The sequence below is a fragment of the Homo sapiens genome, chromosome 2 (genome assembly GCF_000001405.40).
Source record: "Homo sapiens chromosome 2, GRCh38.p14 Primary Assembly".
Classification (NCBI taxonomy): domain Eukaryota; kingdom Metazoa; phylum Chordata; class Mammalia; order Primates; family Hominidae; genus Homo; species Homo sapiens.
The window spans coordinates 54349685-54364485 of NC_000002.12; the positions used below are offsets into that span (position 1 = coordinate 54349685).

Genomic DNA, 14801 nt, shown 5'->3' on the forward strand with positions numbered 1-14801 from the left:
TATTCCTCACTATTGTGGGCTTCTGTAAATGTCTCATATGCCTGTATAAATGAACACAGTCATTATGTTTAATTTTAATAGGTGTAATGCCTGAATAAGGAATTTCCCTTTATAATAACTCAGATTCCTTTCTCCCCCCTTTATTTCCGTGATGAAAAAGAAATCTTTTTTTTTTTTTTTTTGAGACGGAGTCTCGCTCTGTCGCCCAGGCTGGAGGGCAAGTGGCGTGATCTCGGCTCACTGCAACCTCTGTCTCCCGGGCTCAAGAGATTCTCCTGCCTCAGCCTCCTGAGTAGCTGGGATTACAGGCACCCACCATCATGCCCGGCTAATTTTTTAAAAATATTTTTTAGTAGAGACAGGGTTTCACCAAGTTGGCCAGGCTACTCTTGAACTCCTGACCTCAGGTGATCCACCTGCCTTGGCCTCCCAAAGTGCTGGGATTACAGGCGTGAGCCACCATACCCAGCCAGAGAATTATTTTTAAAGTTATTATTTGTGAGATTATGGAAGGTTTTAGATTACTATTTAAAAGATTCATTTTAATTGATTTGACTTCCTTCTGAAATATTTGTTTTAGTTATTTGCATAACAAGCTACCTCAAATTTAATTGCTTAAAACAACAATCATCTTATTAGCTCAATGTTCTGCAATCTTGGCTGAGTTCAGCTGGGTAGTTCTTGGTCTGGTCAGTGATGGTCACTTGTGTGGCCACATTCACTTGGCAGATGGACTGAGGACGGGACTCAGCTGGGATGCAGGAATGACTGGGCCTCTCCTTCTCCAGGTGGTCACTCCACGTGGTTTCTCCAGCAGGGTAGCTGGACTTCTTACTCCCAAGAATGCAAAAGCAGAAGCTATAAGGCTTTCTTAAAGTTTATGGCTAGTACTGGCATAGTGTTACCTCTGTCATATCCTGTTGGTTAAAGCTAATCACAAGACCAGCCCACATTTACGGGGAGGGGACTATATAAGGATTTGAATACTGGGAGGCCTGATTCATTGGGGCCACCAATTTAACAGACTACCACAATACCCTTCAACAGTCATTTAAATGAGAGTTTAGGAGTAGCCAACTCTTCATCTTTCATTGTCTGAAAATGTCTTTAAGTTGCCCACACTCTTTAATGAATGAAAGCACAGCTAAATGCAGAATTCTGGGTTCACAATTAATTACCCTTTACACTTTGAAGATATTACTCCACTGTCTCCTGGATTTTATTGTTATGTCAAGTCTGCAGGCAGTTCAAATTCTTTGAGGGTAATCTGTTTCAGTATAAGATTTTTAATTTCAAAGAGAGCCTTTCTATATAAAAAGGTATTCATAGTTACTTATGATTTAAATATTCCAGTTTGAACATTATAAATTTGAAAAATATGTTTCAAGTCTTTAATTTTTAAATACTGTATAAAATAAGAACAGCATCTTTCACTTGTTTGACATTTAACTCAAGTTGAACAAATGAAATATACCTTAACAATGACTCATTTACGAAACAAAGTCAATTAAATTCTGTTAGCATTTTAAATTGCAAGTTTGTTGATTTAATTATGTTCTGTTTTCCAGAACTACCATTCAACCAGCAATCACATTACTGGGTATATACCCAAAGGAATATAAATAAAGACACATGCATGCATATGTTCATTGCAGCACTATTCACAATAGCAAAGACATGGAATCAACCTAAATGCCCATCAACTGTAGACTGCTTAAAGAAAATGTGGCACATATACACCGTGGAACACTATGCAGCCATAAAAAGGAATGAGATCTGGTCCTTTGCAGGAACATGGATGGAGCTGGAGGCCATTATCCTTAGCAAACTAACGCAGGAACAAAAAAACCAAATACCACTTGTTCTTATAAGTGGGAGCTAAATGATGAAAACACATGGACACAAGGGAACAACAGACACTAGGGCCTGTTGGATGGTGGAGGGTGGGAGGAGGGAGATAATCAGGAAAAATAACTAATGGGTACTAGGCTTAACACCTGGGTGATAGAATAATCTGTACAACAAACCCCCATGAGACAAGCTTACCTATACATAACAAACTTGCACATGTACCCCTGAACTTAAAACTTTAAAAAATAATAGTTACTATATTCTGTTTTCTTCTCAAATACTTCAAACATCTTTACAAGAAAAACTTAAAGCTTTGACAATCAAAACATTTCCAAATCCTTAAATAATTTCTATAAATTCAATAAATTAAACCTAATAAATCTTATAAAACCTAATAAACCTTGTGGCTACTGTGGGCTTACTACCTATGGAGCAGCCCTGTTCCACAAGAAGAAAAAAAAACCTAAGAAAACTTGCAAAACCTTGTAAATCTAATAAACTCAGATATCTTAAATATTTTAATACTGTTTATAAACTTAATCAGATTTCCCTAAAATTGTCAGCACAACACTAGTATTTGATCAAAATTTTTTTGACATAATGTACTAAATAACAAATTACAGGTTTAACTTTCTTTGCTTTCTCATCTCTATATTTAATCCCAAAGTTTCCCAGAATTAAAAAGGTTTACCAACCATTTACTTTAGTAGTGTGTAAATCCCAGAAAATTGGTTTTGAGTATTAGTAAAGCATTAAATTTGTTTTATATTGGTTTTGAAAAGAAGCCACTCTATAACCAGTCTTTACTTGTTACACTATAAGAAAAATTGTCTGATATGCTATTTGTATTTAATCTGATCCATGGCTAGGTATTATTGTGATTATTACAGACAGTGTTAACTGACAAACAAAAATTGTTTGTATCTATACAAAACATCCTTACAACATGATGTTTTGAAATATACATTGTGAAGTGGCTAATTAAGATGTTTATTACCTCACATACATTATTTTTATGGTGAGAACACTTAAAATCTATTATTTTAGCAATTTTCAAGAGTACAATACATTAACTATGGTTACCTTGTTGCACAGTCATCCCTCAGTAACCAGGGGATTGGTTTCAGGACCCCTGTGGATACCAAAATCCACAGATGTTCAAGTTCCTTATATAAAGTAGTGTAGTATTTGCATATAACCTACGCACATCTTCCCATATACTTTAATCTCTAGATTACTTAGAATACTTAATACAATGTAAATGCCATGCAAATAGTTGTTATCGTGTTTTTTATTTGTATTATTTTTGTGGTTTATTTTTCCTGAAAAGTTTTAATCCATAGTTGGTTGAATATGTGGATACAGAACCTATGGATAGAGAGCACCAACTGTACATTAGATCTTTTAAACTTACTGTTCCTTTCTAACTGAAATTTCGACTCCTCTGACCAACAAAATCTCCACTGTCCTGCTCCTTCCAGAGGGCTTTTAATGATGACAGATTTTGCTTTACGCAGTTCACTTACTAAAACATCACTATAACTTAAATTCATCTTATGTAGATCTCCTTGCAGTAGGTAGATGTAAACTCTGTTGTCTGAGGATTTTTCAGATGTGGAAATTGCTGTCATCTGATTTTAACCCAATAGAAAGCATAGCATATACATTTCCAGTTTGGGGCAGCTTATTTGCCCCAACTGTTACTGTCACCTTAGGCAGCTGTAATGTTAAACAACCGTCCCTGATTGTTTCGGATGAATACTTGGTCGTGGGGTGAGGCAAGGGCAGGGTGGCAGGGGTGCATAATTCACTTTTAGGGCTCTGAGTCATGTCTATAAAGACGAACCCTGCAGGCCAGGTTAAATAGTGACAGTTCTCTTGAGTTGGTATTTGTGAGACACTCCAAACCCCTTCCGCTTCTTCCAGTAGTTGATAGGCTTCTGGTTTTCATCATAATTGCAGGGCTCTTGGTTTTCAAGGCTTCTGCAGAGGGGAGATTGGGAGTGGGGGGAGGGGGAAACTGCATGAGTTAAAATGTCATCAAACTTGCTTTTATTATGAAGATTAAGCCATTTTTCTTGAATAAATGCTCCTTAGATTATTGCATGCCTTTCGTTAATCTCCAGAGTTCTAAAAAAGTTGATTTTGATGACTTTTGCCAGTGTATTCATTGCTTTTGTGGAGGAGCAGCTTTTTCAAAGGTCCTTAACTCTGAAATTACCACTGATGTTCTGTCCCATTAGTTCCCACGTTACAAATATCTCCTTCCAATCTGCCATCTCTATTAGCTTTGCCCATGGTGTCTTTCATCGAGCAGTTCTCCTATGTTTTTTAATATAATCAAGTTTTTACCTTATGGGTTGTGTACTGGCTGTTTTAAGAAGGGTTTTTCCTACCCTTAGGTAAAGAAAGTTTTCTCCTACATTTTCTTATCTTGATTTTATACTTTTACCTTCCATAATTAGGTCTTTAATCTTAGAGTCCACCATGCGCGCACTATTAAGTAGGGAATCAATTCCACTTTCCAGCATAGAGTGAACCACTTTTCTGAAAACCATTTATAAAATAATCTGCACTTTTCCCATTTACTTATAGGACCTCCTTAATTTTATGTTAAGATTCCATATATAAATGAGTTTGTCTGCAAGCTCTCTGTTACGTTACTCAGGTTAATTTTCAGTTCCTGGATCAGTACCAAAATATTTTAATTATATGGATTTTTAGCTGGTCTTAATATCTGATATGGAAAGTCTCAATTATTCACCCTTCCTTCAGAGCTGATTTATGGGATTTATTTTTCTATTTAAACATTGAAATGTATGACATTGCTCAAAATATCCAGCTAGAATTTTGATTAGGTTGTGGTGACATTATATATTAATTTAGGAAAAAGTCACCATTATAATAAAATGCTATCATCCTATTCAAGAGCATAGAATGTCTATTCAGTTCTACTTTTAGGTCTTTAACAGAATTTAAATTTTTTCTCTATAGAGATCTTGTGAATGCTTTTTTAATTTCTAGAAACTTCATACTATATAGTTTCTGTTTCTACTAAGAATATATGTTATTTTTCATTATATCTTCTAGTAGGTTATCACTATTGTAGAGAAATGCTCTTGATTTTTGATTTTTATACATTTATCCGATGTCTGTTTACTTTGCCATACTCTTATTCTCATAATTGATGGACTCTTGTGGTTTTTCTATTCAGGTAATTATATTACCTACAATTACTTTTTTTTTCCTCCTTTGTAATCATTGTACTACTTTTTTCTTTTTTATAGTATTCACCAGGGGCTCCATTAATGTTAAACAATAGAATTTTAGTTCTGAGTTTTTACAGGTATAATACTTAGAATTTTCTGTTCTTTAATCCTTATCTTTTTCAGGAAACAAAAATTTTTGTTATTTTCTTCCTTATATATCAGACATCCTCTTTGATTTATTTCTAGTCTTGAATTCTTCCTCTAGTTTTTCAAAGTAGGTCTGTTTTGGGGGGAAATCATCTGAGGCCTTCCTTTCCTTCCCATGTTTTTGAAATTTTGGCTTCACAGTTAAATGAAAATTTGGTTGGATATAAAAACTCTAGGCTTAAAGTGCTTTTCCTTTTAATATTAAAAAAATTAATTATCTTGTGTCCAATGTTGCTATTGAGAAATTTGATATTAACCTGTTGTTACTCCTTCATAATTTACCTCTTTGAAAGCATTTATAATTTTTCTTTGTCCCAGATGATGTTAAATTTCTCTATTAAATGTCTTAGATGCGAGTTTTTCCTTTATCTGTACTGCAAGATCGAGAGGAGAGTGAGAAACCCAACTAGGGTGTAAAATTTAAGGAGGCACTCACTCCCAGGGTCATGCAAGTGCCTCCTTAAAGTTTTGCATCCTTTGTGTCTCATTGCCTCATTTTTCTCCTGCCCCTGCTACCTGTTTGGTATTCTGTGAGCTCTTTCAATCTGAGGTGTTTGAGCTTTCTTTAATTCTTGGATATATATCATCATCATTTTCTCAAATATTTCCTTCCCTTCCCTCTATTTCTTCTTAGTTCTGGTGTTGATACTTCCACCTTCCATGTCTCTGAGCTTTTCTTTATTTCTTTATCCTTTCCTGCTGCCTTCTGGGACAGCTTCTCAGTCTGATTTTCTAGTTCATGATTCTTGTTGTCTAGACCATGTATTTTTTTGTTTCAACTGTTATATTTTTTATTTCTAACATTTTTTGTTATTCCTTTTTATGACCTGTTCTTGTTCGTATTAACAATACTTTGTTCTGTATCTTTGAGGATATTTGTTATGCTTATTTTAAATTCTTGGTATATTGGTTCTGATAATTCTCCTTCACACAGTATATGTTTTAAAATTTTCTTTTATGGTCAAATTTATGGTAGATCATATTCCCCTAGGGGAATCAGTAGGCCTGTGCAGACAAAGGCTGAAGACCAGGGTCTGGTTTGTATGTCTCCCACTAAATTTGAGGAAAGAAAATGAGGCTCAGGCCAGAGAGCTTCTGGTATCACAAAACCTATTTAGACCATTGTTAATTACTGTCACTCTACTAGGCTGGTCATGTAGTCAGGAATCCACCCTACCACCCTTAAACTGTTAAAAAAAAAAAAAAAAAGGCATCACTGAGATAAGTCAGTATCTTGATGTTTTTAATTCACCAGCATTGACGGTTGCTGGGGGAATGTTGGAGGAAGAAATGCCCAAGGGGGCAACATGTACCCATTTTCATCAGCTCGTTATCCTGGAGGGACTTCTGCGCGCTTCTGCTATTACTGTATTGACAACAACTGGCTAGGCAGTTGCTGCCAGTTTCTGTGGCCCTGGGCAAGCATGATCTTCCCAAGGCAATGTGAGGGAAAGTCAAGAGCAGATTTTAAAAGCTCTCCCACAACTTATTCTTCTTGGCTACATCTGACCTTCCTACCCTCCAGTCCAAATTGCCACCAACCCTTCGTACCAGTTCACTAAAGCCTTTGGGTTTCTCACAGTTTTTTTTTGGTAGCTCCGGTTCCTGCTTCCTTTTCCCTTCCATGGTTTCCCCTTTTGTCAAGATACAAAAGAGCTGGCCCTTTGCTAACTTTGAAGACTCCATAATTTGACCCTAGCATCCTAGAGACTTCACAAACACTGCCCTTAATTTTCACAATTCAAAAAGCAAATTATTGTTTTCTTCATTTTAGAGAGGAGGAAATAGAATTTCAATGAAGTTCAGTGATTTATTTCAAAGTCACACAACTAGGAAATGTGGTAAAGCCAGAATTTGAAAACATGTCTATTTTATTACCAAATGCATGCTTTGGATACTTCATTACCACCACCTAATTAATGCCTAAATTTAGAGCCGCTTCATTCTGTCTATACACGAAGTTATGAAACTGTGTCCGCACATACTAATGTTCTGTGAGTTGGACCATGATATTCATAAAAAAAATGGTCATCTTTTCCCACTTGGTGGAAAAAAATATAAATTATAGATAGAATTTTCTCAGTGTCATGCTTATTAAATCTTTGCACTACTGTTTTCTGTTTTCTAGCAAGTTCTAAAAGAAAGGTAATGATTAAGTAGAAAATGAGTTTTGAGCAGTTGATTGCAATTAGAAATCAAGAAAATGTTAACAGTTAACTTTTTTTATACTGCTAACTGGGAAAAGATTGCCATTTTGTAACATGTAATGTATAAGTATTTGAATATTAGTCATGCTTGCTAATAAAATTAGTTTATAACAATGTCTGAATATCAAAGTGAATTCATGAATGCTTAATACATGTAAATTTACTAACATTTTTTCTTATGTATTCCTCTAATTTTAAAGGTGTGATTTTTAAAAGTTAAATTTTATTTTTTAACAGTTGATATAAGCATATGGCACAAAATTCAAATGGTACAAAAAGATATACAGTGAAAACTGAATCTACTTCTCCCCACCTCTGTCCTCCAGTCACCCAGTTCTCTTTCCCTACAGTCACCACTGTTACCAGTTTGTTACATAGCATTTCACAGATATGTTCGTTGTACATAAACTCTTACGTACTTTTTTTTTTTTTTTTTGAGACACAGTCTTGCTCTGTCACCCAGGCTGGAGTGCAGTGGCGCGATTTTGGCTCACTGGAACCTCTGCCTCCCAGGTTCAAGTGATTCTCCAGCCTCACCCTCCTGAGTAGCTGGGACTATAGGCGTTCACCACCACGCCCAGCTAATTTTTTTTTTTTTTGTATTTTTAGTAGAGACGGGGTTTTCACCATGTTGGCCAGGATGGTCTCGATCTCTTGACCTTGTGATCTGCCTGCCTCTGCCTCCCAAAGTGCTGGGATTACAGGCGTGGGCTACTGCGCCCAGCCACATACATATTTTTTAAGGGAGAAATTTTTGTCCTTGATAGAATTTTACTTCACTAAACTTTTTTTATTGCCAGCAACAGTACTGAAAGTTGCTCTGATCTTTAAATAACCTTCTCTGCTGAAAGTAAAACTGAGTTTTAAAAATTATTTAAGATGTTAAACATACATGGAGCACAGACCAATATAATGAACTCATATACTCATCACCCAGATTGAAAGATTATTTAGAAGTGATTTTTAAAGGATTTCATACTCTTGCAAATTTTTCAGAACCCCTGTTATTGGGCGAAATGAAAAGAATTATGTGTTCAACTACAACTGCAGCAGCCCTAGAGTCTTCCAATTCCATTAGTGCTAGCTTCGGCATACAATTTCTACCCTGTGGCCACAGCCACTGGCCAAACTATAGATTCAACATAGAATTTCTCATACTCTTTCTAGTCGTGAAAAGTTAACAAATTATAGTTATGTTTTCCCTAAAATGTATTGGTATCTGTGTAAAAAGCATATCTAACAATTTTTTTTTTTTTCCTTAATGAGACAAGATCTCTCTTTCGCCCAGGCTGAAGCACAGTGGTGCAGTCATGGCTCACTGCAGCCTTGAACTTTTGGGCTCAAGCGATCCTCCCACCTCAGCCTTCCAAACAGCTGGGATTATAGGCACATGCCACCACGCCTGGCTTATTTTTTGTAGAGATGGGGTTTCACCATGTTCCCCAGGCTAGTCCTCAAACTCCTGGGCTCAAGCAATCCTCCTGTCTTGGCCTCCTCCCAGGGCATGCTGGGATTACAGGAATGAGCCACCATGCCTGACCATATTGTTGTATTAATATTAATTTTAGTTTTAAAAATTACTAATAATTCCACACGTGGGGCTAATTTGGTTGTTTTGATTTGGCTCTTTTCATGAAGAAAGAATGGTGAATCCATTCTATTTATTATTTAGATTGTGTAAATAATCTTGCATACTTCAAGAATTTAGTTTTGTTACCATATTTTATATTATTAATACTGATTATATGTCCATAAACAAATCTAATTTTTTGTCCTGACTTCACAAAATCTTTTTTTTAGTACCACTTGCCTCTCCTGGTACATCAGCAGAACTTCAAAACAATTTTATAGAATACATCTCTTTTATACATCAATATGATGCCAGAAAAACTCCGAATGAGCCTCTCCAGGGAAAGGTGAGGCAGTATTTAGAATTATTTAATACTTTAAGACAGAGTAGATTTGTAGAACTTTAAGCTTTTTCAAGTCATAATTATCTTTCTGTCTATTTAAACAAACTACTTCAGTTATTAATAGGATAGAATGTTAGCCACATACCATAGTAAAATGTAAGGAATAATACTATCCTGGTATGGTGGTGCCACCTGTAGTCCCAGCTACTCAGGTGGGTGAGGTGGGAGAGTTGCTTGAGCCCAGGAGTTCGAGGCTGCAGTGAGCCGTAATTGCACCACTGCATTCCAGCCTGGGTGACACAATGAAACCTCATCTCAATCAATCAATCCAAACATAATAATTTGAATCAGTCTTTGGAATTTGGTCTACTTAAATTATTGAAATAATTTGTGTAAAATAATATCAAAGCATGCTGGGCACAGTGACTTGACGCCTGTAGTCCCAGCTACTCTGGAAGCTGAGGTAGGAGGATCACTTGAGTTTGAGGCCAGCCTGGGCAACATAGCAAGTCTCATTTCTAATAACAATAATAATAATAATAATAATAATAATAGTAATAATATCAAAGCAGTTTGACAAATGTTTTGATATGCTTAATACATGTGTGTGGCAGGGAGATGCATGTAAGGTTTATAAAGCCAAATAGAAATGTAATTGTCAATTATTGGATTTTTTTCCAACTATAGATGTTTGCTTTCATATTTTATTATTACTTAGCTTTTCATCAGCGTTAATAGGCATTTGGGATGCAATCATAAATTCTTAGGTCTATGAACTGTAGTTTTTGTTGTATCCATAGCAATCTTTAGAGCAAGAAATGAAATTTGATGTGAATAGTCTTAAACAGTCCAAATGATAAAAAAGTTGAGAATGGGAGATGAGCTGCTACTTCTTTGACATTCTGCCTTTTTCCTTCCTGTTCATTTTCTGATGCACCCTATTTTATAATTTAAAAGGTTCACCCATATATGGTGGTGTCTAGTTTGGGACTGAGGTGACACCAATGAAGAGGCAGAGAAGTGCCTGCATCACTGACTAGGACTTGAGCTAACGCACAAATTCAGTTCACAGCTGCATCTTCCAGCAATCTGCGTTCTCCTGGTTAATGTCGACTTTGTTTTCTTTTCCAGAGACACGGAGCTTTTGTACAGAGAGAGATAAAACCAGGCAGTAGGCCAACAGTTCCTAAAGGAGCAGAGGTATTACTGAACACTCCAGGGTCACGTTCATCAGAACAGTCCAAAAAAACAGAGAAAGGAAACTCAGCGGAAAGCAGAATGATCTCACCAGGTCTCTGCCAACAAAATTCTCAGGAGCTGTTAGAGCCTAAAACTCACTTATCAGAAACAGACGTCAGACAGGCAGCCAAGGCATGCCCCAGCACTCCTGAGAGCAGAGAAAAGACCTCAGGCGCCACTCAAACAACTGTAGGAGATGCTCTTTTCACTAGGCACAAGCCTTTAAATCCACCAATTAAAAAATCAGAATAAATTACCTTCTTCAGATAAAAATCTAATCCCTGGAATATAGGGAAATTTCACAATCATCATCTTGGCCCTCACATTTACTTTTCTGTTATCAGTAACTTCAGAACATACAATTTATGTAAATGGAAAAAGAGAAAAAAGACAATTAAAATACAACCAAATGTTATTAATAAGAGTGGTCTCCAATAAGTGGAGTGAGACATTATTTCTATGTCACATTCTTTATGAACACAACTTTGTTTTGCACAACACATGATCGTAATTAACAAATATAATACTTTTAGAAGAGAGGCCCTGTTAGACATGAGTGGACAGCTTTGGAATCAAACAAACTAGAGTTGGAATGTTGGCTTCACTTCATTCCTTGAGCTGTGTGACCTTGGGTAAGTAACTTAACCTCTCTAGACTTCAGTTTTCTCAACTGTAAAATTAGGAAAATAGCAACTTCGTAAGATTATTGAGGATGTGATTATGCACATTGATCAGTAAGTGGTCAATGTAATCATATCATCACTGCTACTATAATTCAATTTTCAATTTAAGGATAATGTTCTCTTATATATTTAATTTTTCCTCATTATTCTAAAACTTAGAACTCCTCCATATATAATTAAAAGTGTGAAAATCTAAAAATACTTCTGCCAGTACAAGATGCACAGACACATACACACTTAATTCAAAGACATATGGGTACTTAGAATATTGAAGTATTTTCTAAATTGTTTTCTATTTTACTCAGATCATTTCTAGCACCAACTCAACCTTTGCTTTTTGGATGAGTTTGGTAAGGATTAATTCTACTTCCAATTTGGTGTGTTTGGTGTGCCAAAATGTATCTATTATAAGATATGTTATATTGCATACAAGTGGAAGTAGGTGGAGTATTCCTCTGTTATAAAGAGTATTTACAAATTTCCATTGGGAAATATCAGCTGCTCACTATTATCTGCAGTATTGATAAGACTACAGCTATATCTTTATCCATTTATTCTCCATTAAAGAAATTGTGATAAACTGCAAAATAATGAATGTCATTATATTTTTTTGTGTTGGGGACTTCTAGTTCTTGCCACATATATATCTCCAATGTATATCTTGGAGATCTTTCCTTGTCAACATATGTAGGCAACCTTGTTATTTTAATAGCTCCATAGTCTTCAACACCATAGGTATACTACTATAAAATTGGAAAAATTAGAATGCAAGTTTTGGTATGAAGACAGGGAAGGGAGAGGTTGTTAGCATGTTTGGAAAAAGGTCTTAAAGCCTAGGGACTTGAATTTTTATCCTCATTGGAACAGGGATGGAAACTTATGTCCTCCAAAGTAGAAAGATAGAATTGAAATCTGCATAAAGCTAGAACTCTCAAATGGCTGGCCTGTCAGTACAAGGCAGACTCCACTCCACTCATATAACCAGGAAGATAGCAAGAAAATTTGCCTCTGCCTGGAGCTATGGATAGTGAATAAACTCCTTGTGAAAAAGTAAAACCCCAAGCTTGTACCATGCTCCAGTTAGGAATATGAATTTACATGTAAGACTTCTCTTAGGACACAAAACCAAAAAATTCCTCTAGTGATACCACTGAAGTCCCTGACAAAAGCAAATGCAAACCCTCCCTGGAGAGAGTTTCATGATCAACACAAAAAAGGAATCCCTGTTAAAGATAGTCACAAACAAAAATTACAAATCACACCAAGAAGAAAACCAAACTGAGCAAGAGTCTGCAGTACAAAAGAATGACTATAATTTCAGAACTGGAGATAAAAGAATTAAAACATATAATTTCAAAACTGGAGATAAAAGAATTAAAACACTTTCAATTTGAAGATCCTTGGTTTTTTTCCACCTTAGAAAATTTTATTATGTTGCCTTTTCTGTTATTTCCATCCCTTCCATTCTTTCTCTTCCCTCTTTCTGGAACAGCTATTAGCTAAATGTTTGAACACTTGGATCTATCGTCTATGTCTCTCATTATCTGTCTGTGTGTGTATGTGTGGTTTTTTGTTTTGAGGCAGTCTCTCCAGAGCCAGGCTGGAGTGCAGTGCCTTGATCTCGGCTCACTGCAATCTCCACCTCCCAGGTTCAAGCAATCCTCCAACCTCAGCCTTCTGAGTGCTGGGATTACAGGTGTGCACCAACACACCTGGCTAATTTTTGTATTTTTAGTATAGGCAGGGTTTTGCCATGTTGGCCAGGCTGTTCTCAAACTCCTGAGCTCAATTTATCTGCCTACCTCAGCCTCCCACAGTGCTGGGATTACAGGCATGAGCCACTGTGCATGGCTCTCATTATCTTTCTCATGGTACTTCGCCACTAAGTAATGCAAGAATTCCGTGACACTTTCTACTAATTTGCTTTTCAGCCTTGTCTATTGGTATGCCAGTCCATTTATTGAAACTTAATATTTGACCATCTATTAAACTTAGTATATATTTAATATCCAATCTATACATGTTTCCTCAGTACATAAGACTCTTGCTCTATTATGGATATGATCATCTCTCCTAGGATATTGTAGTTATGCTTAAAATGTTTTGTTTGCTCTCTCAATTCTATTAACTTTTGTTTGTTGAGTGTGAACCTCGCACTCTGGGTATTGTACTTTTTCCCAAATGCTTCACGTCTCTTAATTGTCTACTCTTCTTGGATTATATGGTTTCCAGGTTATTATCAGTTTCTGTTGACTATAGCCTGACTTTGGGACAAGTTTGGGATGTAGACAGGAGCTGAACATGATTTGTCTGATGAGCTCTTTGGTCTTCCTGGGGGTCGGTAGCTACTTGGGCATTACCCTGCTTCTCCAGCCCCAGTGTATGATTTGATTCATGCCACAGTTACCCTGGCTTAACATAGCAGGGAAACAGAAAGGGAATGACTGGTTTGCTGCTCCACATGCAGTTCCCTAACTTTTCAAGTTGATAAATGGCCCAAGGCTTCTTCTACCTCTTCATATTCATTGACTCTAGGCTTGTAGTCCTATCAGACCTACTATCAGGTCATCTCTACACAGGTTAGGCTTTTGTTTCCTTTAGTTTTGTTCTTCTAAACGTGAGTTCTTTAGTAATATCTTTCAAAATTTATTTAAAAATTTTTTTTTCTGATCATAAGTTTCCCTGCTTTCTAACTCTATTAAAATGGATTTCATTATCTATATTTATCTACATTTTATGGACTTTAGAGGGCAACAGGGAGTGGCTGTGTGTGATCAGTCCACCATCTTGAGTCAATCTCTAATTTTCTAAATCATTTGCAAACTTAGTACTTTAACCATTAGGAAATAACACATTCTCTGCAACAGACCTCATGGTTGACTGACAAATGTCACTGAGGATTGACACAGTCCTTGTGTCCCACATAATTTAGAGGAGAATGGTCTGGGGTCATAAGCCCAGTGAGTGGTTCCTACCACAGGCTAGGTTGGTTCTCAATCTTTTCAAACATGAGGGCATCTTTTCTGCATTAAGATAAAAAGTTTATGGTTCCTCACAATGACTGAAAGTCATTGAACTTTCAGTATCCATTGTGTGGGAAATCTGTAATAAAATGCAATGATGATTTCCAGGTTTAAGTCTCTATTTTTTTAAATGCAAAGGGTGTGTCTCTCCAAAATGAATTCCATAGTCTATTAAAGTCATAACTGCCTGTCAGTACAAGTAGTGCTCTTAAATTTCACAAGAATATTTGAATGTTTCCAAGTAGTTCCCTTATTATTTCCAAAGAATGATAGCCTTTACCAGGATACAAGATCATTTTTCAAATTACAAAAAATAAAAAAGAAAACCAAACAAAAACAAAAACCATCATTTATTATTAAAGTCAAAAATACTTTAATGAAGGTGCTAATGGTTTCTAACATTGCTATTAATAGCATAAATTTGTATATGTTAAGTACTGAAGCATTTTAAAATCTATTATCTTATGTG

At 36.1% G+C, this 14801-nt stretch overlaps 1 protein-coding gene across 5 annotated transcripts in view; it reads left to right on the forward strand.

The window, feature by feature from the left end:
- The window catches only part of CIMIP6 (ciliary microtubule inner protein 6), a 53310-nt gene that overhangs the window by 18801 nt on the left and 19708 nt on the right, over nt 1-14801 (forward strand). For 3 of the 5 annotated variants that reach the window (NM_001100396.2, NM_001369401.1, NM_001369403.1), the window contains 2 exons: nt 9275-9390; nt 10519-11897. In NM_001100396.2, the coding sequence (NP_001093866.1) occupies nt 9275-9390; nt 10519-10878 (476 nt within the window). In that variant the 3' untranslated portion in view covers nt 10879-11897. Of the gene's footprint in view, nt 1-9274; nt 9391-10518; nt 11898-14801 lie in introns of those variants that run through there. The other 2 variants (XM_047443325.1, XM_024452687.2) reach the window with 1 other exon arrangement.